Below are 27,650 nucleotides of genomic sequence, written 5' to 3' on the forward strand. Positions count from 1 at the left end.
ATGAAATTATTTCTTATGTTGTGAATGCTACAGAAGTGTTGATTATTCAAAGAAGAGGCCTTGCATTGTTCCCCTGACACAGAGGCTTCAGGAGCAGAGTTGATACTGTAGGAAACTTAACAAAGGAAAGTGGAGAAATCTGCAGAGCTCCTGAGCACACCTGTGAGACATCGGATTTGGTCTTTGCAAATTGGCTCTTTGTGAAGCTGATAAACAGGGTCTGAAATTTCCAGAAGTTTGCATTTTGCCTTTGAGTAGTCCTCACAGTTTGGCTGTTAATTGCCACTGCCTTCAACTTTCAGAAAGTCACACCTCTGTTTGTCCATAACAGTTCACAGCACTTGATATAAATACTTAGTAAAGGATTATATAACTATAAATAAGAAACATATACCAACTTGACAGTTCACAAAGCTCCATCACAGACACTATCTAATTTGATTTTTGTAACAACATTGAAATAGGTAGAACAAGTTTTTTTACCCATTTTGTTGGAGGTAATAGACACAGATTTGTTCAAGGTCACAGTAAATCAGTATGAGGTAACACTAGCTACCATTTATTGAGCCCTTACAATGTGCTAGGCATACTTCTAAGTGCTTTAACTTACTGAAAACCATCTGTTATAGGTACTATTGTCTTCATTTTTCAAATGAGAAAATAAAGGCACAAAGAGTAAAATTACTTGCCCAAAGGAGTAAACATGAACCTGTTTTATAATGGGATATTGTAAAAATATTCATATATTTTTAATCCAGTTCACTTATCGTTATATTACAATGTCTCTGAAAGTATGACTGTCCTAAGTGGGTATTTCTCCAAGACCTGTCTCCCCTTATTTGTCAAAGGAAAATTGACTTGTCTGATATGGTGAGAAGTTCTGAATACTAAAGAATTAAGATGGCCTTCTCTTAGTCCTTTCACCACTTGAACTTCGCACTTGTTACAGTGTGACTTTGCCTCGATCTTTCTCAGGCTCAGACAAATGACAGTGACTCTGACACTGAGTCTAAGAGGCAGGCCCAGAGATCCTCTGCTTCTGAGAGTGAAACGGAAGACTCTGATGATGACAAGAAGCCAAAGCGCAGAGGGCGTCCGAGGAGTGTGCGGAAGGACCTCGTGGAGGGATTTACTGATGCAGAGATCCGAAGGTTGGTGGAGGCTCTGTTCTCACTGAGCTTGTTTGAAAGTGCGTACTGTAAGTCTTGGGTTGACTGGATCCTGGACATCGTGACAGGGTAGGCAGAGGCTAATACCTACAAAAAAGGAAAGAGAAGCTGGGTCCTGTCCCAGATCTGTAGGATGATCCTTCCTTCTCCAAGGTTTCTTTCTGTTGAGATCACTTTTATTTGTTGTTCATCTCTCTATTTCTCTCTTATTCTCTGGTTATTCAGAACATTTTCACAAAGTTCAGCTCGGGGAAGGAGATAATTGACATACATGTATATACAGACTTATGTATCTGTATATAAAAGAAATATCAAAAATAAAAATGGTACAAATAAGTCTACCCTCACTACCTCTCCCCTCCGCCACAATCCCACTTCCACCTGTGTTAGTACTGACATCAGTTTGCTAGTGGTTTGCTTTGATTTATAAGTAGTATGTACAGCATGTTGTTCAGCACCTTGCTTTCCCCGATCCCATTTAAAATCCATTTTAGACATCTTTCTATGTGAGTGATTACTATACATTTCTTGGTATCTGATTCAAATGTCTCTATCCTCCATAAAAAAATCTAAAATTGTTGCTTACAAATTATTTTTTTTCCAGTTTCCATCTTTTTTTTTTAAGCCTGAAGAAAATAGAAAGTATAAAGATGGTTTTAAGGCCTAATCCATATTATAATTATATTAAATAGTCCTTTAAGTTTCATGTATTTGAAACTGTGAGGTGTTTCTTTTCACTTAAAGGTCACACCTATTCTTCTTTCTTTGTTTAATTTACTATGGAAAAATAGAAATATTTCAAAATACTGACAGAATAGCATGTAACACATCCCCTCTTGTGCTTATCATCTTAACAATTTTGAATTTGTAGCCAAAATTGTATGTATATATACACACCCCACCTCTTCTTGCTCCCTATTCCCAGTATTATTTTGAGAAGAATGTGTTTTCTGCTATGGGGCAGTATGTTCTATAGCTGTATTTGGCTTAGTGTTTTTCAGGTCTTTAATTTCTTCATTGATTTTCTGTATAGTTGTGGTTATTTTGGTAGAGTCAGAATCTTGCTCTCTTGCACAGGCTGGAGTATGATCCTATCTCACTGTAACCTCACACTCCTGGGCTCAAGTGATCCTCCTGCCTGAGTGCCTTTTTCACTCAGCCTCCCAGGTAGCCAGGTCTACAGGCATGTGCCACCATGTCTGGCTAATTAAAAATTTTTTTTTTTGGTAGAGACAAGGTTTCATTATGTTGCCCAGGCTGGTCTCAGACTCCTGGCCTCAAGTATCCTCCTGCTTCAGCCTCCCAAAGTGTTGGGATTATAGGCCTGAGCCACCGTGCGCAGCCTAGTTGTTCTACCCATTATTGAAAATGGGATGTTGACATCTCTGTTACTCTTATATGATCCATTTGTTCTTCAATTGTTAGTTTTTGCTTCATGTGTTTTTGGACTCTTATTAATTGTATATATTTTTTATAATCGATAGGTCTTGATTGGCCTTTTTATTGTAACATGTATTTCTGTCTGTAGTAACAATTTTTGTTTTAATTCCTATTTTCAGTTTGATATTAGTATAGCCACTCCAGCTTTCTTTTTGGGTATTTGAAATTTTAAAAAATGGTATTTGGCCAGGCATGGTGGTTCACGCCTGTAATCCCAGCACTTTGGGAGGCCAAGGCAGGCAGATCGCTGGAGCCTAGGAGTTTGAGACCAGCATGGTCTCAACATGGCGAAACCCTCTCTCTACTAAAAATACAAAAAATTAGCCAGGTGTGGTGGTACACACCTGCAGTCCCAGGTACTTGGGAGGCTGAGGCTGAGGCACGAGAATTGCTTGAACCCAGGAGGCCAAGGTTTGCAGTGAGCCGAGATGGCACCACTAAACTCCAGCCTGGGTGACAGAGCAAAACTCTCTAAAAGAAGAAGGAAAAAAAAAAAAAGATGGTATCTTAAAATTTTTTAAAAATATTTTTTCTGCCAATCTCTTTTTTTTGATTGCAGTATTTAATCTATTTACATTTAATGCAGTTATTATAAAGTAGGAATTATGTCTGCATTTTGCTATTTGTCTTCTATATGTCATGTTTTTTTTGTTTATTTCCCCATTACTACTTTCCTTTGTGTTAAATATATAATATACCATTTTAATTACCTTAAAAAAAAAACTTTTTTTTTCACTTATTTTCTTAGTGGTTGCCCTAGAAATTACAAGTAACATCTTAGAACAATTTACTTTGAATTAACATCAATTTAATTTCAATGGCATTATAAAAACTTTGCCCCAGTTATAGCTCACCATCCCCATTTGTGCTGTTGTCGCACATTACATCTTTACACATTTTAAACCCATCAATGCAGTTTTATAATTCATACTTTATATAGTTAGTTGTCTCTTTTTTTTTTTTCTTTTGAGACGGAGTTTTGCTCTTCTCACCAAGGCTGGGGTACAGTGGTGCAATCTCGGCCCACTGCAACCTCCACTTCCCAGGTTCAAGTGACTGTCCTGCCTTAGCCTCCCAAGTAGCTGAGATTACTGGCTCCTGCCACCACGCTGGCTAATTATTTTTGTATTTTTAGTAGAGATGGGATTTCACCATGTTGGCCAGGCTGGTCTTGAACTTCTGACCTCAGGTGATCGGTGTGCCTCGGCCTCCCAAAGGGCTGGGATTAGAAGCGTGAGCCACCCACACCCAGCCTAGTTAGTTGTCTTTTAAAATCAGATAGAAGGAAAAGAGTTACAAAAATGCATGTATACTGTTTTTATATTTACTTACTCTATTATTCCATGGGTGCTCTTATTTCTTCATGTGATTTGAGTTACTATTTTATGTCCTTTCATGTCTGCCCAAAGGACTCTCTTTTAGCATTTTATTTTGAGGCAGGTCTGCTAACAATGGATTCTCTATTTTGGCTTAGCTCGCACTGTTAATTTCATCTTCATTTTTGAAGGAAAGTCTTAATTTCTTTTTTTCTGTTTCTCACGTGGGATAATCTCAATTGGCCTATCTTCAGATTTGGCAGTTCTCTCTTCTTCAGGCTAATATCTGCTGCTGAGCCTCACCAGTGATTTTTTTTTTCATTTCCGTTATTGTAGTTTTCAACTCTAGAATTTCTATTTCACTCTTTAAAAAATGTCCGTTTTTAAACAGCATTTCTGTTTCTATTGATATCATTTTCGACCTTTCTTTTTAATTCTCTAGGCAGACTTTTTTTAACTCTTGTAAATATTTATAATAGCTGATTAGCATCCTTGTCTTATAAGCCTACATGCTAGACTTCCTTAGGGATGGTTTCTATTACCTGCTTTTTTTCCTATGTATACTTCATACTTCATACTTTTTTTTTTTTTTTTTTTTTTTGAGATGGAGTTTTGCTCCTATCACCCAGGCTGGAGTGCAATGGCGCGATTTTGGCTCACTGCAACCTCCGCCTCCTGGGTTCAAGTGATTCTCCTGCCTCAGCCTCCCGAGTAGCTGGGATTACAGGTGCCCACCACAATGCCCAGCTAATTTTTATATTTTTAGTAGAGACAGGGTTTCACCATGTTGGCCAGGCTGGTCTCGAACGCCTGACCTCAGGTGATCCACCCGCCTCGGCCTCCCAAAGTGCTCGGATTACAGGCGTGAGCCACCATGCCCAGCTTACTTTTTGGTTTTCTATATGTCCCGTAATTTTTCCCGTGAAAAACTGGACATTTTAAATCATATGGCAACTCTGGAAATCAGATCTCCCCTCCCAGCCATGTGTTGTGTTTGCCGCTGCTGTTGTATTTGCTTGTTTAGTGACTTTCCTGTACTAGTTATCTGAAGTCTGTATTCTTTGTCATGTTATGTGATCCTTGTCATGCTATGTGTAGTCTCTACTCCTTTAGCTTAGTGGTCAGCTAATGATTGAACAGAGATTTCCTTAAATGCTTTGAGCCTGTAAGTCTACCAGCCTTTGTTGAAGGGCTGGGTATGTGTTGTTGGGGCACGTTTCAATGCTCTGGAAGGCAATTGACAACTCTGCCTTAACTTTCAGTTCCTGCTTGCACAGTTGCTCAAGGTCTTTCTCAGGCTCAGACAAATGACAGTGACTCTGACAGTGAGTCCAAGAGGCAGGCCCAGAGATCCTCTGCTTCTGAGAGTGAGACAGAAGAGTCTGATGATGACAAGAAGCCAAAGCGCAGAGGGTGTCCCAGGAGCGTGCGGAAGGACCCTTTGAGATCTTTCCTCTGCATGGACACAGACCTGCACATGTCAGAGCTTTTCAGAGTATCTATCCTATGAACATCTTTCCTCCCAGTTTTTCTTTTTGTCTTTGTTCAACCTTTTGTTATTTCCAGTTGGTAATGTTGCCTCAGGCCGTCATGGTGTTAAATCTTTGCATCTAATTGTTTTTGACCAATGAATTTTGGACAGGGCTATTCACACAGTGAGTTCTGGGTCAGTCCAATAAAGACAAGCCTGAGAATGGAGCTTCTTAGGGTGCTGTTAGCCAGGTCCAGTCATTCTGGGGGAATAGGGCTTTTGGAGAACTCTCAACCTCTTCTTTACCCTCCAGTGGCTGCTGTGCTGCTGGTTACACAGCTATTGTAGTTGCAGAAGTGTTAGTTTTGAAGGCTGTCATGCAGCTGGGGTTAAGGGGTGGGAATAGTGCAAGTTAAAAAATGCCTTGAAGCTTGCTGAGCCATTTTCTTGAATAAATTTCTTAGATGGCTGCACGCATTTGGTTAATTTCCAGAGTTGTGACAATACTGATTGTGACCGTTTATGCCAGCATTCCTATTGCTTTTATGGGGGAGCAGATTTTCACAGACCCTTAGTCTGTCATTTCGGAAGTGTTGTTATTTAGACATAAAATATTTCAGTGTCTGTCAAGAAGGAGAAATGCAGTTAAGGAGTAATCCTCAGGTTTTGTTCATATATAATACTTTCCTAACCTTTGTATCTGCGCTGTTCCTTTAATGTTGTTTTTAGCTATTGTCATATTCAGTCCCATTTTATTCTGTAGCCATGTCTTCTCATTTCCATTTTTCCCTTAGCATCTGTCCTTACATGGTTATATAACCCAATTATCATAGTAATTTGGCATATTACATGATGCCCTTAATGTGTCATGAAGTCCTGGTTTTTAGTGGAAAGTACTGGTGACCAGCCTGTAGGAATGGGGATGATGGCATGAGTTGGTATGTAGCATAGTTTAGGGTAGAGACTTGCAGGAAGATAGATTGGATTTTTGGGAGGAGAGGTCAGTAGAGTTTCCAAAATTGTTTGCCTAAGAAGTTTTAAATCATATTTTACTGTGCCTTATTCCAAAAACTATTTGAGACAGTCAAAAAAATCTTAACAGCTGAAAAATCATTGGTTTTCTAATAACGAAAAATATGGTATTGAAGGTAACAGTGGTGAACTGAATACGCTGATGAAACGATATAAGGGTTTGTCACAATAGAGTCGTGATGATTGAATCCTTTATGACACAGTGAAGTCTATAAACTTGTATCTTCTAAAAAGGATATTAGAGCTAAGTCACAGTTCTCTAGCATGTTATCTAAGCAGGTTTATGTACAGTCACTGAGAATAAAGTTGATCTTTAATTTGAATAGATTTTTAGCAGTCATTATTTTAAGTTGACTAGTTTCAAAGACATTCAACATTTATTCATTTTTTTGGTAGTGCAAGGATTGAGTCCACTCTATTTTTGACAATTTGCATGGCTCATATGTCATCACAGGATATGCTAGCATCAACATAACTAAAGTAAGTCTCTGTTTTTTTAATATGTTTTATTGATCCTATTCTTAGGTTCATCAAGGCTTATAAGAAGTTTGGTCTCCCTCTTGAACGGTAAGTTCAGTGTAATAGTCCCTTATCTTCCTCTTTTTTGCTTTTATTATATAGTACGTTCTTTTTTGGTAAATTTTTCCATTTAATACTAATGCTGGGAACATTTTTTTTTCTGGAAACATTTATTTACAAACATTTATATATTGGGTGCCTGTTCATTCATGTCTCTCTGCAGAGGGATGACAAAGATGATAAAGACAGGCCATCCATAAAAAGACTTTCACCTTCGTGAGGGAGATAAAGCAAGTATATTCAAAACCATAGTGCGTGAAATAATTTCCAGAGAGATGTTCATGTAACTCCAGTTGAAAAGAATGTATGTAGTTATTATTTGTATCCTAGTTCTTAGATTTAATAATGTCAAAGGTAAAAGGCTCTTTATGATTTTATAATCTTCTGCTAATTAGCAGGATTTTATGAGGATTAAATACAAAGGACTTAACATAGCCTTGACTATAAAAACTTCCAAAAGGGTAGCTGTTGTTACTATTCTATAAGCATTTAGAAAATAATTCAGAAGTTAGATTTTAACAGAAGACTCTATTTGAAATGGTTCGGTACTTTACTTCCTATAAAATCTAAAAAGCCCTAATTTAAAGGAAATACTGGGCTCCCTTCTCTTTCTTCTGATAAACTTCTTGAGTGGGTGAAAATTACAAGCCTGTTTTTGTTTGGTCCTCTCCATTTGGCGAGGAGGTAGTGATGTGTAGCATTAAGCCACAGCAAGGCCAAGAAGGTCAGTTGCATCTTTCCAGGACTATTGCTGACCACCCAGGGGTAGACTGTCTGTTTTTGGGCCAGTTACCGTAAAAGCCAATAGAATGTGGAAAAGGGGGCTTGACACCTTTTGACAGCCTGTTTTTTAGCTGTTAATGTAGTTGTGTGCTTCATATGACATGGAGATCAACTAAACATATAGTAGAAGTAGCTATACTCTGCTTCTAGGAGCATTGCAGTGAATGAAAGTAGGCTGGAGAAAGGAAAGTGAACACAAAAGAAGCAAGCTAGTACGGATGGTGTTCAGGCACTTCACCTGCTGCCACTAACAGCCTATTTATTTAATAAACTTTGCTTTGCTTGTTTCTTTCTTTCCTCTCTGTTTTTTGGAATTATTTTGTTTTGTGGAATATTCAAGACACAATTCTTTATGATGGAAAATGAATGTGTTAGCCTTCAGTCAATGTCCAGGGGTTCTTGTTGGAGCCTTAGAATGACCACTAAAGGAACGCAAAGAAAAGTGTCTTTGCAGGAGAAGATTATGTGAGGCCTAGTGGCATCTCATGACACTTAAGAAGAGTGGGCACAGGGTCCTAAAGTGTCCCCATATTTGTTCCTCCTCAGGCTGGAGTGCATAGCACGTGATGCTGAGCTGGTAGATAAGTCGGTGGCAGATCTGAAGCGCCTGGGTGAACTGATCCACAACAGCTGTGTGTCAGCAATGCAGGAATACGAAGAGCAGCTGAAAGAAAATGCCAGCGAGGGTAAGCGAAGTTGGCTTTAGTGAGTCTTCGCAACCTGGCACTCTTGGACTGGATTTCTGTTGCTAAAGGGCGTTTTAAGGACAGGCTTGAGGACCACACATGCCTAGTGATTTCAGGTGTTTATTCTGAGCTGCGTTTCTGTGAGCTTAATATTCTACTCTCCTACAGGTCTACTCACAAATGAAGTTGATTTGCAGAAGGTGTAGAGTGAAGAAAAAGATGAAATGGTTTTTTTTTGTGTTGCTGTAGAAAGTTTAAATTCGTCGGAGTGATGTAAAAACCCAGGGGCAGAGCTTGGTGGACACCTCTGTATTTTGGCTGCAAATAAGAGGTGTTATAGATCACAAGCATTGTTAATTATCTTGGATATATATTGTGCGTTATGGCAAACACAAAGGATTTAGAGAATTAATTGGAATAAATAAAATATTGGATGAGTATCGTAAACATTTTTGGGTTACGTTGAGATTTTCATGCCACTAGAATTTGTTCTCATTGGATTGGACATGCAGTGTGTTTTCTCTTTGATACCAGAAAGTGATTTTGCCTGTCCTGTGTGATATCTTTAAAAGCAAGAGGTATAGGAATGCTTGTGAGGAGAGAACTCTGAAGTAGTTATTGGTAAGGACACCCTCATAGTGAACTTTAAAGAAACGAAGAGAGGCCAGGCGCAGTGGCTCACGCCTGTAATCCCAGCAGTTTGGGAGGCTGAGGCCAGAGGATCACTTGAGCCCAGGAGTTCAAGTCCAGTCTGGGCAATATGTAAGTGAGACCTTGTCTCTACAAACAGTTTAAAAATTAGCCGAAAGTAGTAGGATGCACACCTGTAATCCCAGCTACATGGGAGGCTGAGGTGGGAGGTTCGATTGAGACCAGGAGGCAGAGGCTGCAGTGAGTTGAGATCATGCCGCTGCAGTGAGTTGAGATCATGCCACTGCACTTCAGCCTGGGTGACAGAGCGAAACCCTGTCTCAAAATATAAATAAATTAATTAAAAAATAAAGAAATGAAGTTATTATCATTCTACTTCTCCAGACTGTGGTTTATCTGTGCCATTTCTGCATTTTTTGGGGACAGCCTTTACTTAGGTAAGGCTACCCTTCTGCAGCTTTGTTGAGCTGTGGTTAAATCTTCAGGCTCCAGAGAAAGAGGCAGTCAGTTATCTGGAATTTTGGTTCTACCACTTCTAGTTATAAGACTTTGGGCAAGTTATATCCCTTCAACTGTCTCATTTGCAAAATAGAGTAATAGTATCTACTTCAAAGGATTTGGATAATTGAATAATTCCATACTTGTAAATTGTTTAGCAATGGCGTCTGGCTTGCAATGTTAGCTGTTATTAAGAAGTGAGTATTTGTGCTTTGAAATTTTCTTTTTTTCTTTTTAAGATTTTAATAATAAAAAATTATTTTATTATTCAATAATAACCTTAATATTATTGAATTTGATATAATTTAAAAATATCTTCAAGAGAGTCAAAACTTATTTTAAGATAATGTTCTTTTTTGTAAAAGACAAATAACTTGTATGGTTTGCAAAATGATCTGAATATGTGCTTTTATAACATTCAGAATACACCCAAAAGTAAACTTTAGGTTTAATGTACAGTATGTTTTCTATGTAATTGTTTTGAATAAGTAATACATCTACATGGCTTAAAACTGAAAAACGTATTCCTGTTACTTCTTGATGCTTTTGAGAAATGAATAATGTTTTCTCCCTTTTAAATGGTAGTACAGCATGCACACTTTTCTGTGCTTGCTTTTTTATCTCATAGTATCTTGTGGAGCTGTTTTCTTAACAGTCCCTTCTCCCCAAAGTCTCCCTTTTTTTTGTGCATGTCCACATTCTGGATCTGGCTGATTGCTTCTTCCTGGTATTAACTTATTTCCTCACACCTGTATTTCCTGTAAACTGGTATTCAGCATATTCTGAATCCAGGCTGACATTTCTAGATCAAATGGAAGATTATTGATACCTTTTTTCCCTTAGGTTGAAATTTTTGTTTCTAAAAATGTTAACATAATTACATATTTGCTTTATCCCAAACATATGTTTCCAAATACCAATACCAATCTTACTGTTAACAAAAGAATGCTGAAATGCGAAGTGTGATTTCTTTGCATTTCTTTTTGATCTTAGAATATATCACACTAACAATATAAAGTCAAAATATATGTTTAAATTATTCAAAGTTATTCCTTTCTCTGTGTGGTTAATGCCACCACCTTAATATATAGTTAGACTCTTTTGTTTTCATTTATTTTCAGTACTTAGGGACTGCTTTTCTCATTTAGATTCGATTTAATTTTTTTAATTATGTAAAAACATTTACATGGTTCAAAGTCACAACTATAAAACAAGGTACATTTGGAGCATCTTGTTTTCGTTTTTTGTTCCCCAGCTGCCTTCTCTTCCTCCTTAATAGGTCACTGTTTCTATTAGTTGTAAGTTTATCTTTGATTGTTTCTTTTAAAATTTAAGTGTGTGTGCGTGTGTATTTTCCTTCTTACACAGAAGAGAACATACTCTTTTGCACCTGCTTATTTTCATGACTGAGATAAATTCATATCATTATGTAGAGATCATCCTCTTTCCTTTTACAGTTGCAGAGTATTCTACCATGTAGATAGATGTCAATTCACACTTCCCCCCTAGTATTTAATATTTGGGTTGTTTTCGGTCTTTTGTTATTATAAAGAAAGTCACAATGAATAATGATCTAATGAATATACCATTTCATATCTCTGCCAGCATATCTTTGGGATAAATTTCTAGAAGTGGGATTGCTGGGTCCTGGGAAAATGCGTATATACTTTGCTTCGATATTCCCAAATCCTTCTGCATAAGTCTGGTGCCACAATGTTTGTCACAAGCCTCACAAACAGAATATATTGTTAAACGTTTGGAGTTTTGCCAGTTTGATAGGTGAGAAACGGTATTTCATTTTTCTTTTAACGAACAAGGTTGTACATCTCTAAGGGTCACTTGCATTTTGTTCTATAAAGTGTCTATTCATGTGTGCTGCCCATTTTCTATTGAAAGGAGTTTTCCTCTCACAGGTAGCATTATCTCATGGATTTCAAGTTGGACTATTTGGTTGGGGCTTCATTTTTACTTCTGTGATCATTTTAATTTGAAATTTGGGTTAGGGTAAGTTTCTTTTTTTTTTTTTTTTTGAGATGGAGTCTCGCTCCATCTCCAAGGCTGGAGCACAGTGGTGTGATCTCGGCTCACTGCAAGCTCTGCCTCCTGGGTTCACACCATTCTCCTGCCTCAGCCTCACGAGTGGCTGGGACTACAGGCGCCCACCACCACACCTGGCTAATTTTTTTGTATTTTTAGTAGAGAAGGGGTTTCACTGTGTTAGCCAGTATGGTCTCGATCTCCTGACCTCGTGATCTGCCTGCCTCAGCCTCCCAAAGTGCTAGGATTACAGGTGTGAGCCACCGCGCCCGCCTGGGTTAGTGTAATTTTCTTAAGCCACCACTTGTTCATCATTTCACATGTGTTAGATGTGAACTTAAGCTCATGTGTTTTCAGTAATAGTGTTGTGAAGATCAAGTTCATTTTTAAAACACTTGAGAGTTTTTTGACCTTCGCTAGTGGGATGGGTAGGAAAACAAAAAGAGAAACCTTCAGCACTAATATTATACCCTCAGAATCTACTTTTGTTCATTTGGAAACAAAGTAGTATAAAACAAGCAGGAAGATTAAAATACAACTATAAACATCAGTGAATTAAAAAAGAATTCCAAATCTTAAAAGACTGAATGTTCAGAGGTTATTTTACAGACATTAGTTGAGAAAAAAATTTGTCTTATAGATTATATCTTCAAAATAACAATAAGCCAGAGATATATTCAGAGAGACTAAGAGGTCAGGGTTCGTTGATACATGTTTTCTGTGGAACTTCTGCAGATTTTCATTTAACTAATGTGAAACTGGTATTTTTCAGGAAAAGGACCAGGGAAAAGGAGAGGTCCAACAATCAAGATATCCGGAGTTCAGGTTAATGTGAAATCCATTATCCAACATGAAGAGGAGTTTGAGATGCTGCATAAATCTATCCCTGTGGACCCTGAAGAAAAAAAAAAGTGAGTATATTTTGTGTACATGCTTAGATGGTCGTACCGTAAGAAAATAGATTTGAAGTTAGACTTTGTGTAGTTCCATAGTATTTTTACTGTCTCTTCTTTAACATACCAAAAAGGCCCCTCTTCTAATGTCTTCCTGTTTTTAAACTTTCTTTAGATACTGCTTAACCTGTCGTGTCAAAGCTGCACATTTTGATGTAGAGTGGGGGGTGGAAGATGATTCTCGCCTGTTGCTGGGGATTTATGAACATGGCTATGGAAACTGGGAGTTAATTAAAACAGACCCAGAGCTTAAATTAACTGACAAAGTAAGTAACCCTACCATGCTAGAGATTTCTAGAAGATTTGTTGTGTAATATTTTTATATCGATTACTTATTTCTAACTATTTTCGAGGGGGCATCAAATTAGAAATTAGTATAGTCATTCTTGGAAATACTTCCATCTTTAGCAGATTGTGGCACTGTTTCACGGATGAAGATAAAGGGAAAAGACAGTAGCCAGGTGAAATTTTGGGGAAACTGTAGGAGAAATCTTAAAATTCTGGTATTTAATTATAGGTCAGATTTCATTACAATAAATACCCAGGTGAGTTTGTTAATGATAAAAGCATTCCTTGGCCTTAGTTATTGGCCCTTTGTTTAAAAGTACATTTGAAACAACCATATTTCACTTCCTCACGTAAAGATTGAATGTCACCTTGGTATTCTTTGTAATGGAATTAAACATTGGCTGTTCTTCTCCCACAAAATCGAGCCTCCCACCCTATCTGTTGCAAGTAGCAAGGCCATGGTTGGAGCTATAAGCAGGGAAGGCTGACTGGCTCAAATTTTGGTAGGATTTGCTCCATGTTGTGCTCCTGGCAGTTCAACAGTGCTCATCCCATCTGGTTTTAGGAGGGTGACAGCACCCTGCCTTAAGCACTGAGACCAGATTCAGTCTGGCAAGAGACCCAGTTGTTGTAGCAAGGAACAGATCATGTCCTGGCGTAGCTCAGTGCTCTCCGGCAATGCTCTAAGAAGCATTTTCAATCTAAAACGAAGCTTTAACCTAGCTCCAGGGATTCCCTGCTCCTGGAAGGAGGAAATCCACGACGGCTGGGATGCTCTAGCAGATGAAGCCACAAGCCCCTCCTACCTGAGTTGTTCTACCCTGTTAACAGCACAGGTAGGAGCCATTGGGAGAGCTGGATTTCTCCATCCCATTTTGTAAAATGAGAACGGCTCGTGAGGGATTTTCAGTGACTGGGAGCCATGGACATGAGATAGGATCTGAGGCTTTATCTATATTTTGGGTGGTTGGGGAGGGAAAGGACTGTGCTCAGTTTTTGTTGTCTCTGTTTATCCTGATCCACTAACCAGGATGTGGGTGGTGGCGGGTGCTTCTCTTCCTTTCTTGTTGAAGATTCTGCCGGTGGAGACAGATAAAAAGCCTCAGGGGAAGCAGCTACAGACCCGAGCGGATTACTTGTTGAAGCTGCTCAGAAAGGGTCTGGAGAAGAAGGGGGCTGTGACAGGTGGGGAAGAGGTGAGTACGCTGCCAGCTGGTTGTTTTTCAGGGGCCTGAGGCTCCTACCCTGCAGAATTAGGTAGGAAGAGAGAGGCCCTCTCTGAGCACTGCACAGAATGTCACCTTCTCATGGGCATATTTTGTTTTTGAGGTTCCAGTAATGATGCTTTGCTTGGTAATAATAGAAATGTTCATTTAGGCCTGGCGCAGTGGCTCATGCCTGTAATCCCAGCACTTTGGGAGGCTGAGGCGGGCGGATCACAAGGTCAGGAGATTGAGACCATCCTGGCTAATATGGTGAAACCCCGTCTCTACTAAAAATACAAAAAAATTAGCCGGGCGTGGTGGCACACGCCTGTAATCCCAGCTACTTAGGAGGCTGAGGCAGGAGAATGGTGTGAACCCGGGAGGCGGAGCTTGCAGTGAGCCGAGTTCGGGCCACTGCACTCCGGCCTGGGCAACAGAGCGAGACTCCGTCTCAAAAAAAAAAAAAAAAAAAAAAAAAAAAAAAAAATTCATTTAAGACCACGGCATCTTGGCAGCTTTCTTACAAACCCATCCTTCTGAAATGTTGCTTCAAATTCATCCTCTGCTCCCCAGTCCCACTATTCCACACATACTGTTACTGTTTCTTTATCCTACTTTCTCAATTTTGGAACATAGTTGCAGTTACTGCATTGAATACCTGTGGGTTTGCCTGTTGTTCTGTCTGTCTCTGTGGTTCTTGTAATAGTGGATCCCAGAGATAAAATGGACAGTTGTAATGCACAGTTAATTCAGAAACTAGACCTTACTTGCTGTGTGAAATACCAACTAAATTCTCAGTGAACTCAGCTGAGCTTTATCTCCTTTTGTTTCCCCAATTTATAATTTCAGTTCAGGCCCAGAAAGATGGAATCCCAGCTAAGAAATACAAGTTACACCCTGTACTAGCAGCCCATGTGTGCATGTTCTTTAAGTGCTCTTGCAGCTATGTCATTTATATTGATTTCCCTGTATTATTATAAGCAAAGCAAATTTGAGGAAAAAAACCCATAATACCACACCTCATTTTTTTCAAGTAATAGGGTCATAAGTCTCATTCTTCATATAATATGTTGAGTATGCAATATATTATGTGTTAGGCTCTGGAAAGGCAGAGGTTAGATCATGTTACAGATCATATCTGATTAGGCAGATAAACAGTATTTTAACCTTTTCCTTATTATATGTAACTTGCTTTCAGGTTTTTTAATGTTACTATTATGTCTTTAATATATTATCTTTATTTGTACTTTTGTATACAGAGTGATTTTCCTTTTTTAAAAAAAATTGTGTCTTTAGGATGGATTCCAAAGATGTGGAATCAGTAGGTTTAAGGAATATGGATATTTTGGCTGGCAAGGTGGCTCACACCTGTAATCCCAGCACTTTGGGAGGCTGAGGTGGGTGGATCACCTGAAGTCAGGAGTTCGAGACCAGCCTGACCAACATGGCGAAACCCTGTTTCTACTAAAGACACACAAAAAATTAGCCAGTGGTGGTGGCATGTGCTTGTAGTCCCACTTAGCTACTCGAGAGGCTGAGGCAGGAGAATCGCTTGAACCCGGGAGGCAGAGGTTGCAGTGAGGCAAGATGGCACCTCTACACTCCAGCCTGGGTGACAGTGCAAGACTCCATCTCGGAAAAAAAAACGAAAAAGGAATATGGACATTTTAATGTGGTATAGGCCATGTATAAGGCCTATAGGTTTTTATTTGTTTTGGTTTGGTCTTGTGAGGTAAAATGAGTTGCACTCTTTTGATTTCTTTGGAATTTTCTTGTTTGAATTATATGGCTGCTACTGCTTTAAAGAGTCATCATGTTGTTTGGTTATGCTTTTGAGTGTCTTGATTTGTATTTTAATCATCATTTTCTCTCCTTTTCCAGGCCAAATTAAAGAAGCGGAAGCCTCGGGTAAAGAAGGAAAACAAAGTGCCCAGGCTGAAAGAGGAGCATGGAATTGAGCTTTCATCTCCTAGGCATTCAGATAATCCATCAGAAGAGGGAGAAGTGAAAGTATGAAGTGGGGTTTCGGTTGAGGGTTATTTATTTATTTTAGCTATACTTATCATGCCAGCTGGAATAAAATCATCTGAAATGTGTTTGGTTTACGAGTGGATTAAATGGAAATAGAATATGTAAGTCTTCGCTTAATCTGTCAGCGAGGATAGTTTAAGTCAGCAACTGCAAATTTGTACATAATGGAAGTAAATGAAGGGGACTATGACATTTTTGTTGTTGTTGTTTGTTTGTTTGTTTTTGAGATGAAGTCTCGCTCTTGTCCGCGAGGCTGGAGTGCAATGGCACAATCCTGGCTCGCTGCAATCTCTGCCTCCCAGGTTCAAGCAATTCTCCTGCTTCAACCTCCCAAGTAGCTGGGATTACAGGCACCTGCCACCACGCCAGGCTCATTTTTGTATTGTAAGTAGAGATGGGGTTTCACCATGTTGGCCAGGCTGGTCTCAAAACTCCTGACCTCAGGTGATCTTCCTGCCTCGGCCTCCCAAAGTGCTGGGATTACAGGCGTGAGTCACCGCGCCCGTCCTAAAGTTTTAATGATAAATGGCGATTGACACGTAGCCTCATTCTTGCAAATGACGGGGAGTGGTCAGGACTGTGGTTAACCAGAGAGCTCATGCCTAATGTAAAGGGGGCAGCTGCTATGGAGTTCTGTTAACAAAACTCCTGTGGGTCAGGTTTGGCTTGCCAGTTTGTAACCTCTGGTCTAAGTAAAGTGAATAGTAAGTTGGTATCATTTAGTGTGCTATTTCAGTGACAACTTTATGGAATTTCTGAGAGTGTAATTGTACTTGGATATTAGCTCCAAGAGGATCAGCAGTGTGTACAGGAACTAGCATGGATTTGAGTCATACATACAGATATTTATTTATTTATTATGAGTTGCTTTTTGAGATGGAGTCTTGCTTTGTCACCCAGGGTAGAGTGCAGTGGCGCGATCTGGGCTCACAGCAGCTTCCACCTCCTGGGTTCAAGTGATTCTCCTGCCGCAGCCTCCCAAATAGCTAGGATTACAGGCACCTGCCACCACACCTGGCTAGTTTTTGTATTTTTAGAAGAGACAGGGTTTCACCATGTTGGCCAGGCTGGTGTCAAACTCCTGACCTCAGGTGACAGGTCTGCCTCAGCCTCCCAAAGTGCTGGAATTATGAGCATGAGCCACTGTGCCTGGCCAATACATACGTACATTTAAATACTAGCAACCTAATCAGTTATTAGCTGACTTTGTATAGGTATATAATCTCTTTGGTACTCAGTTTCCATCCGTGAAATGAGAATAATAAACTTACGTTGAAGGGTTGCTATGAGAATTAAATGAGAGGATATCAGTAAAGAGCTTCTGCCTCTACAGTTGTAACTGGTTATTACTGGAAAGTTTAGACTTCTCTGAGTCCCTTGAGGCTATTTGCTTGAAAACAAGCTTCTAAGTATAGACAGTGATGAACCACTGGGGGCAGTGCTTCTTTTTCCAGAAAGTACATAAGTAGATATAAAATTTGTAGCAAAAATTCATAGCCCTGTTTTGTTTCCTAGGATGATGGCTTGGAAAAAAGTCCAATGAAAAAAAAACAGAAGAAGAAAGAGAACAAGGAGAACAAGGAGAAACAAATGAGTTCTAGGAAAGACAAAGAAGGGGACAAGGAAAGAAAGAAGTCAAAAGATAAGAAAGAGAAGGTAATGATGCCCTTCTGTTCATGCAGATATCCACAGCCTTTGCAATTCGCCATTTGGATTTAGAAGTAGAATGAGATTTGAGGGCCCTGGAATAATTGTCTTTTTATGGGTATGTTCAAGAAGGATGGGTGGGGCCGTTGATGGGATACCTGCACCTGTCCTTGCAGAGAGAGGGGAACCTGCAAGTTTGGGGTGTTCTTTAAAAAAGAAGGCCTTTACTTGGTCTTTTATGACATATTTCAGGGGGAAATGTTTGAATGAGATAGGACAGGTGAGAGAAATCGGCATTTACATGTAAATACGAAATACGTTCTCAGATTCATATTAGAGGAGCACAATCCACAACTGAATTTGAATACTTGAAGAGTTTGAGTCAAAAACAAATATTAGCAAGAGTTATTGGAATATAAATGGATGAAAAGCCTTGCTATTATAACCTTTACATTAGGGGTTTTATGAAGTTCATTCTAAACCAAAGAATTTGGTACAGTGTTGCAGTGTATACTTGCTGACCTCTGAACACAGTAAAATCATTGCCAAAACACAAACAACTGCTGTAATTCTAATATCCAGTTGATAACTCTAATAGATTTCTTGATAAGTGCCTTTGAAACTTTTACTTTGAAATTTTATATTAAATATAAAATAAACTTCTATTTAAGAACAAATATAAAAATCAGATTAGGCTGTTTGGGTAGTTTTTCCTCCTCACTTAGCAGTATATCACAACTTTCCAAGTGATTAAATGTTAAAGTCATTTTTACAGCCTTGGCAACGTAGGGAGACCTCGTCTCTACAAAATAAAAACAAGCAAAAATCTAGCTGGGCATTGCGGCATGTGCCTACGGGCCCAGTTGCATGGGAGGCAGAGGTGAGAGGATTGCTTAGGCCCAGGAGCTCGAGGCTGCAGTGAGCCATGGTTGTGTCACACTTCACTCCAGCTTGGGCAACAGAGGAAGACCTTGTCTCAAAAAAAAAAAAAAAAAAATCATTTTTAATAGTTGGGGAGGATTCTGTTTGGGTGTAACATGTTAGAAGCAATTTGAATTTCCCATTTTGAAATACTTTCTAATTTTTGATGTTAATAGACCATACTGTGATAAATAACCTGTGCATTTGTGCTCCCACAGAAAGACATTATTTTTCTTAAAGTAAAATATTAAAAAAATAAAAAAAGAGCAATTTTAGCAAACATCTGTTTATCCACTCTCCAGATACCACAACTGTTGTTAATATTTTTTCATGTTTACTTTAAGTGGCTTTTTTTTTTTTTTTGGCGGGGCCAGGCGGGGGGAGACGCTGATATCTTTTGTATTTCATGAACATATGACTGATACTGTTGAAGCTGCCCCCTGTTCCCTTTCCCTGATTTTATTACTCTTCCTCTGTTTTCCCCATAACCACTACTGTGAAGTGGGTCCGAAACCTTCCTGTTCATGTTTTTATATTTGTAGTACATATTATAGTGTATATCCATATAACTATAAACAAAGCATACTGTATGCTTAAAAATGTACATGAAGTCAAGCTAGGCGCAGTGGCTCACACTTGTAATCCCAGCACTTTGGGAGGCCGAGGTGGACAGATCACAAGGTCAGGAGTTTGAGACCTGCCTGGACAACATGGTGAAACCCCGTCTGTACTAAAAATACAAAAAATAGCTGGGTGTGGTGGCGTGCGCCTGTAATCTGAGCTACTTGGGAGGCTGAGGCAGAAGAATCTCTTGAACCCAGGAGGCAGAGGTTGCAGTGAGCCGAGATCATGACGCTGCACTCCGGCCAGGATGACAGAGCGAGAATCTGTCTCAAAAAAAAAAAAAAAAAAAGTACCTGAAGTCATTTTATATATTCTTCTGCAACCTTTCCTTCAATGTAATTGAGATTTGTATAGAGTTCATTTACAATAATGTAGTTAATACAGATTCCTAAACCAAAGGGTATGCTGTTAATAAAGGTTGCTACATGATACTCTAGAGAGTTCTGCCAATTTACAAGCTTAACCTCTTGATGACATTTCTGTGCATTTTATGGATAAAGGAGTAAGAAGCCCAAAAATAGCACTGATGAAATTGAAGTTATAATTGGGTACATTTAGAGATGGAAATGGGAATAATGTGTGAGTAAGCTGCTAATCAGACAGGTTTGTCTTCATGATGTTTCAGGATTTTATTTTACTTTTTAAAAAATAAACTGAGACCATCATATTTACCCATTTTAATAACACAACATAGGTAAGAAACCTAAATCGCACGGTAGGATTGCACAAATGACAATGACTCCTTGTAACTCTTTTTTAAAAGCCTAAAAGTGGTGATGCCAAATCTTCGAGTAAATCAAAGCGATCTCAGGGTCCTGTCCATATTACAGCAGGAAGTGAACCTGTCCCCATTGGAGAGGATGAGGATGATGATCTGGACCAGGAGACATTCAGCATAGTAAGTCTTGAAATCGGGGGGTGCCAGTGTCTGCAGCCGCGGTACTTGCTGTGGCTCTGCCTTTTATAGGTCCAGCCAGAGCTTCAGTTGAGCTAAGCAATAGTACATTACTTGGGAAACACATTGCTTACAGTATCGGAAGACCATGTGCTCTTCAGCAGGCTGGCAGGAAGAGATTTTCTTGTCTTTTATTGAGGGGAAGTTTAAGGAGTGGATTTCATGTCTTGTGCTCCTAGTTAAGAGAGGCTCTCAGGGCCCTTAGAGGCATTTGGGAAAGAGAAGTGTTCACTGAGCAAGTATTTATTGAATGTTTTCTGTGTTCCAGCCCCCAGAGTTACCATGTTGAATAGATAACCATTTCTATCATCGTAAACTGTACATTGGAGTAGGGGAGTTAGATAACTACACAAATCATGTTGGTGCCCCTGTGACAGGGCTCTGGAGGAGAGAGAGTGCATACTGTGGAGATCCTGTGAGAAGGGAATTTGACCTAGTCAGGGGTTGCCAGGAGGGCTTGTGTAAGGAAGTGATGTTTGAGTTGGGTTCTGAAGGAAGAATAAAAGGTAACAGGAGAAGAGGGGAGGGCAAGGCGATGGGGAGCGAGTGCATGGACCAGGTCTTGCACGGGATTGGATACAGGCCAGTGTGTCCTCAAGGTCCCTTTGCCCCTGGCTGGAGCTGCAGGTATAGATTTCACTGTGCCACCATCCCTTCCCCACCTCTCTGTGGTCTCTTCTCCCCATACTTCCACAAATCCATTAATCAAACGGCTCATTCAGGCTGAAAGAAAAAGCGGTTTTCTTTCAAATTTGAAAATACTTCCATCCTGTGGCAGCAAAGGACCCTGTTGACCCTGTCCTGTAACCTCTCTCTGACTTCTTTCTCTGAGTTCTCTAAAACCTATACACGTATGTATATAGATATTGTTTTCTTTGCACTTAACTCTGTTTTCTTAAGTCTCTTTTTTGCCTGTGAGCTCTCTGAGGACAAGTATTGTTTTATATAAAGGTCATTTAGATGCTAGAAGTATATCAATAAATGAGTAAATTGAATAAATGAATAAACTAATTACATAGCCAGCTAACCAATCTGTTTCCTAGTCTTTCTTTTCCGAGTGTTTATAAGAGAAAATGATATCTAATGTTCTATGGTACCATGATATTTAAAAAATGCTCTTACAAATGACTCATTTAATCTTGTTTTTATATTATGAAATCTTTAAAAGATGCAGAGAAATTTCAGGGATATAATAGTCATTGATAAATATACCATGAAGTTTTGTCAAATCTGAATTTTTTTAAGACTCAAAATATAAAGCTGAATCCCTTGGTGTTCCTCCCTCTCAACCTATGCTTTTTCTGTCTCTCTCTCTCTTTTTTTTTTTTTTTTTTTTGAGGCAGAGTCTTGCTCTGTTGCCCAGGCTGGATTGCAGTGGCTCAATCTCGGCTCAGTGCAGCCTCTGCCTCTCCGGTTCAAGCAGTTCTCCTGCCTCAGCCTCCTGAGTAGCTGGGATTACAGATGCGCACCACCACACCCGGCTAACTTTTGTATTTTTAGTAGATATGAGGTTTCACCATGTTGGTCAGGCTGGTCTAGAACTCCTGACCTCATGATCTGCCCACCTCAGCCTCCTAAAATGCTGGGATTACAGGCGTGAGCCACCGCACCCGGCCTTTTCTCTCTCTCTTACCTCCCAGACGTAACCATGATTCTGAATTCGATGTTTATACTTAACGTGTGGTTCTAGAGTTTTACTGCTTAAGTCTGTAAAGATGATAATAGCTCACATTAATAGCCAGTTACTGTTTATGTGCTTTATATATATTTTTTCCACAACACTCCTGTGAGGTACGTTAGTGTTTCCATTTTACATATTTAAAAATAAGGTGAAGAGAGTTAAGTGATTTGCCCTGTGTCACACAGCTAAGACATAGAACACAGTTTTGACCCAGGCAGTTCGGCATGAGAGGTTGGGTCCATAACCATTGTCCTACGTAGCCTCCCACATATAAACAACATAGAGGATTGATTTCCATGTCTTAAAACTGTAATTGGCACTTGTGTATCCTGTAACTTGCTTTTCCTCTCACAGCAGTCACATTTGTTGAGATTTATCTATATTAATAATTGTGGCTGTCATTTAAGTTTCATGTTATTCTACAATTTATTCTTCCACAGTTTAATTTTTTCCCGTATTGGTGGACATCAGGATTTTTCCAAATGTTTGCTACTACAAATAGGCTACAGTGAAATTGTTGCCCATATTTTCTTGCACTACACAAGTGAGAACTTCTCTAGGGTGTATGGCTTGAGCAAAAATGGTGGGTCATTCATTAGGTGTACACATCTGCCACTTTATTAGATACTCGAGTTCCTCTTGAAAGCAGTTGTAGAGATTGCATGAATTATAGCAATGAATTCAAGTTCTGATTGCTGACCAGCCTTAGAAACAGTTGTTAATTTCTGACTCAGTTAACAGTTGTTAATTTTTGCTAATCTGAGGACTATGAAATACTGACTGAAGGTCGTTGGACATTTATTTTCATATTTTAGTGGTCATTCATGTTCCTTGTGAATTGCCTATTCAGTTATTCAAAATTGACATATTTGGAATAATTTATCTTTCTTACCTTTTCTGTAGGAATTCTTTTTACATTCTTAATACTAATCTTTTATTTTTTATAGTCATTACAGGTGTCTTTTAGTTTTTGGTATATTTTTTATTTTATGTCCTTTTTAAAAATTGAAGTATAACACAGAAAAATCCACAAATAATAAGTATGTAGCTGTGGAAATGACCACAAAGTGATGGGGAATTTGTAGAGTTTTCATTATTTGAAAATTTCATGACCATGTGTCTTACTTAGTTCATTGTGCCAGATACTCAGTGGCTGACAACCATGTCCCTACACCATTCTGTGAAATTTTCTTGAATTATATGGTGGTAATTTTCTCTAAGTTCCCAGTTTTACCTTTATGGAATTTCTTGTGTTTGGATATCGAATTCTGGATATTGGTCCCTAATTTTACTTTTTAAGTTGTTCATTTCTGCTTTTTACTCTACTTTCTGGGAGATTGCTTCAACTTTGTTTCACATTATTTCTTTCCAAGATCTTTTTCCTCCACCGCTCTCGAATATCTTTATACTTCTCTTTGCTTTCCATTGTTCACGTTACACACTTTGCTTCGGTGGCTTTGCTGACCCTCAGTTGTCAGCTCATGTTTAAGAGTGGAGGACGAAACATGTGATTGGAAGTTTGAGCATGTGGGTGGTGGGGCTTGATCTCCTTTGAAAGTTTTCATTATAGGATGATGTAGCAGAAACTTCTGACAGATAGTCAGGATCATTTGGTGTTTCCTCTGGGGCGGTCACATTTTGTGAAGAATGCCCCAGTTTCCTGACTCTCCAGAGCGTGAAGGCCTGGCTCCATCCACTCTGGAATGTGAGAGGCAGAGACCTGGGTGTGGGTCATCCTGTGTGACTGTGCTCATGTGCTCAGGTAATCCTGTTTTCAGTGTGGTGGGCTCAGCCCTCATCTGTGCCTGTGCAGTCCCGCTCAGAGGTCCTTTTATCCTTTTCTGGAGAATAAGTCTTTATATTTGCTGCTGGTTGGAGTTAGAGATCTGGGTATCTTATGAATCTGGATATGTGTTACTTCTTAAGCAGTTTTTAAACCGCTCCCCATTTTAGCCCTCATCCTTCCTTCTGAAGACACCTCGCCGTTGGGGGAATTTTGCCGTGTAAGTCAGGTTAGTTCTAGGCTGTCTTCCCTCCTGGCTTCGAATTTCATTTTCTCAGGTCTGTTTTGTCATTTCCCGTGCTGCCAATATTTTGTTGCCATTATCCTCTCTCTTGTTTTCTCTTGTCTTTGTGGGCTTGTCTCTTTTAAGGACAGTCCCTTTACCATTGTTTTAGTGGGATTGGGGAGGCAGAGAAAAGATGCTTGTGTTCTGTTTACCATCTTATCTGGAAGCCTTTCTCTTGCTTTCTTTCAAGCCTGAAGGATTTGCAAATATTATATCCCGTATTTTTAGACAGTTTCTGGTGGGAGAATTTCAGATTAGGTCTGTAATACTGCTGCTCATTAGATCTTCAAAATGGGCTTGTGAGGCATGCCATGCCTCTCTTGCAGATGAGGAAGCAGTATTTAGAGAGGTTAAGTAAGGCGTGAAGGGTTATCACATAACTCTAAGCGATGGTGCTGGCACTGCACTTCAGGGTTTTCTGACTTGAATACTTACACTTACTCCACTGCACTAGCTTTACCCACTCTTCCTCTAGCAATTATATGGCATAGGGGTGGGCTGTGTTTTCATCGAGAGCACAGTAAGCAAAGGACAAGACTTACTTTCTGCAGATTGTTTATGTCTTTACTCTGTTGTCCTGTTGCAGTGTAAGGAGAGGATGAGGCCCGTGAAAAAGGCACTGAAACAGCTCGACAAACCTGACAAGGGGCTCAACGTGCAAGAACAGCTGGAACACACCCGGAACTGCCTGCTGAAAATCGGAGACCGGATAGCCGAGTGCCTTAAAGCCTACTCAGATCAGGAGCACATCAAACTCTGGAGGAGGTAACCACTTTGGCCTCGTCTGCCCAGTTTGATTTGACTGAGTGTGGGAGTGGATTCTGTTTTCTTTTAATAAAAGGTGGCATAGCCACCTAAGAAATCTTTCTCCCAGCACAACTCATCTATTGGCAATATACCTGCAGGCTTTAACTCCCTTTCCATGAAATAGGCCATTCCACTGAGACCAGCCTTTTGAAGGGGTAGGACGATGTCATTAATTTATTTTATGAGAGAAAGATAGTGTTACTGGATTTGCTGGTCTATTCTCAGAAATAAATTTTCTTTAAGCCTACAAGGGGCAAAAATCATCTGGTCTTAACTACTTTACCCATCTCAGGTTGATATCCAGATATTCAGATATTACTGTATCTAATACAACTAATTGGTTGGTTCTGTACCAACACATGGTGACACAAAGATTAAAACCGCAAGAACTATGAGTTCTCTATTCTCATATGCTTTTTTAGTAATTAAAGTAGTAATTTGGATTAAGTTAATCTAGAACTTCAGTGTTTAAGGCATCATGGTTTATAAATGTTCCTTTATATAGCCACTGAAACTTTTTTAAAAGATTTCAATAGTTTTAGGGAAACAGGTGGTGTTTGGTGACATGGATAAGCTCTTTAGTGGTGATTTCCGAGATTTTGGTGCACCCATCACCCGAGCAGTGCACACTGCACCCAGTGTGTCATCTTCTATCCCTCAGCCCCCTTCCCCCCAGAGTCCGTTATATCATTTTTATGCCTTTGCATCCAATGTTTGGTTTTCCATTCCTGAGTTATTTCACTTAGAATAATGGTCTCCAATTCCATTGAGGTTGCTGCAAATGCCATTATTTTATTCCTTTTTATGGCTGAGTAGTATTCCATGGTATGTATGTACCACATTTTCTTTATATACTTGTTGGTTGATGGGCATTTAGGCTGGTTCCATGTTTTTGCAATTGCAGATTATGCTGCTATAAACATGTAAGTGCAAGTGCCTTTTTCATATAATGACTTCTTTTCCCCTGGGTGGATACCCAGTAGTGGGATTGCTGGATATATATCCACTGTCCACTTTGGATATTTTAAGAAAACATGACTGGAAATTTTTTTTTTTTTTTTTTTTTAAATGAGACAGAGTCTGACTCTTTCACTCTATCGCCCAGGCTGAAGTGCAGTGGCACAATCTTGGCACTGCAACCTCCACCTCCCTGGTTCAAGAGATTCTCCTGCTTCAGCCTCCTAAGTAGCTGGGATTACAGGTGCCTGCCATCACGCCTGGCTAATTTTTGTATTTTTAGTAGAGATGGGGTTTCATCATGTTGACCAGGCTGGTCTCGAGCTCCTGACCTTAGGTGATCCGCCCGCCTTGACCTCCCGAAATGCTGGGATTACAGGCATGAGCCACTGCGCCCAGCCATGGCTGGAAATTCTAAAAGGCAATTGTAACATTAAATCTCTTTCCATTAATCACAGTTACTTCGTTTTTATTTTATTTTAGACTCAGAGGGTACATGTGCTTGTTTGTACATAACCACAGTTACTTTGAACTTGTATATAGTTCATGGATAATGTGATTATCTTTGTATAATATGTCCAATCTCAGAGGACTGGTTTTTGAGTGAAAAGTGGATTTAAGAAAACTTCTGCATGATGGTGTCCACAGCATGCTTCACACCTATAAAGAAAAGATTTAATTTTCAAAATGGTACTTTTTTTTCCGCTTAACACTGTTACCAACTTCTTTCTTTACCTAGCGGCATCTGGCCTTTTTTTTTTTTCTTCTTTTTAAATTTAACACTGATTAGAAGATAGCAAAAGGTCATCCCAGTGAACAGACCCATTTTTAAATGTGCCAGGCACTGTGATCTTGGCTAGCAGTAGTTTATAAGGTCCTCGCCCTTTACAAGTCAAAAAAGTAGTACAAGGTAAGCCCTCGGAGAAACTGTTCGTCATGAGGCAGCAAATGCAAGCCCAGATAGAGTGGAAGTGTTGAGAAGGAAGTGCGTGAAGAGTAGTCAGGAAGGAAGGTCTTCTGAGAGGCAGGCAGGTGCACTTGAACTGAGCATACATGAGCTGAGTCGAATTGCTGAGATGAACAGAGTTCTCAGGCTTCAGCAAAGGCTTGAAAGTGGGACAGGGAGGGGACTGGGTGGTGTTCAGGATTTAAAGACAGTTTGCTAAAAAGACTGAAGCTCTTTATAGGAGGCTTTAGACAGGAAGGTAAATGGCTCTTCACCTGATGCAGCAGGCTTACTAGTTAGGGAGCCTGTACAGGTGGTCCTGTCAGCAGCAAGCCATGGTGAAACTACCTGTTAGGAAGTTTGAGAAGATATGAGACTCCTTTATCTGGCTCACTCTGACTACCTGTGCTTACTCTTTCTAAACACCTGTCTCATCATATCATTCCCCTGTTGCGCAGTAACACCATGCTAGGGTGAACATAATGGAATTGGAGGGAAAAAGCCACTGAGAGTTTTAAGGAAGAAATGAAAGGTTGTGGTGGCGACAACTGGGAGGAAGGAGGGGCAGCAACACAGAGATGACCAACTGAATGGAGGCCACAACCTGGGAGATGGTGGTGCTGATGGATTTGTGGTAGAGTCCAGAAAGTGAAGGAAAACTTAAAAGGACTGGAGTCTGGGGTGTCATTGATAGAAATTTGGAGGAGTTCTAGGTATTGATAGAGCCTTAGTCTCTAAATCCCTCTGTCAGACTCTTTTGGCAGAACCATGTAAAGGTGTACGGTAAGTCCTCACATAACGTTGTTTCCTTCAGCTTTGTTTCATTATAACATTGATGAGAAAAAAAATTGATTTTGTTTCCCTTAAAGTTGCAATTTCCAAGAACCTATCGACAACATTAAGT

General features: G+C 39.6%; 1 protein-coding gene across 1 annotated transcript in view; it reads left to right on the top strand.

The window, feature by feature from the left end:
- The window catches only part of CHD2 (chromodomain helicase DNA binding protein 2), a 127,673-nt gene that overhangs the window by 84,199 nt on the left and 15,824 nt on the right, over positions 1 to 27,650 (top strand). Inside the window, exons 26-35 of the mRNA NM_001271.4 lie at positions 976 to 1,151; positions 6,954 to 6,995; positions 8,337 to 8,476; positions 12,435 to 12,573; positions 12,731 to 12,881; positions 13,977 to 14,099; positions 15,990 to 16,118; positions 17,655 to 17,795; positions 20,095 to 20,229; positions 24,623 to 24,801. Coding sequence (NP_001262.3) covers positions 976 to 1,151; positions 6,954 to 6,995; positions 8,337 to 8,476; positions 12,435 to 12,573; positions 12,731 to 12,881; positions 13,977 to 14,099; positions 15,990 to 16,118; positions 17,655 to 17,795; positions 20,095 to 20,229; positions 24,623 to 24,801 — 1,355 coding nt within the window. The remainder of the gene's footprint in view (positions 1 to 975; positions 1,152 to 6,953; positions 6,996 to 8,336; positions 8,477 to 12,434; positions 12,574 to 12,730; positions 12,882 to 13,976; positions 14,100 to 15,989; positions 16,119 to 17,654; positions 17,796 to 20,094; positions 20,230 to 24,622; positions 24,802 to 27,650) is intronic.

This window comes from Homo sapiens, chromosome 15 (genome assembly GCF_000001405.40).
Source record: "Homo sapiens chromosome 15, GRCh38.p14 Primary Assembly".
Taxonomy (NCBI): Eukaryota; Metazoa; Chordata; class Mammalia; order Primates; family Hominidae; genus Homo; species Homo sapiens.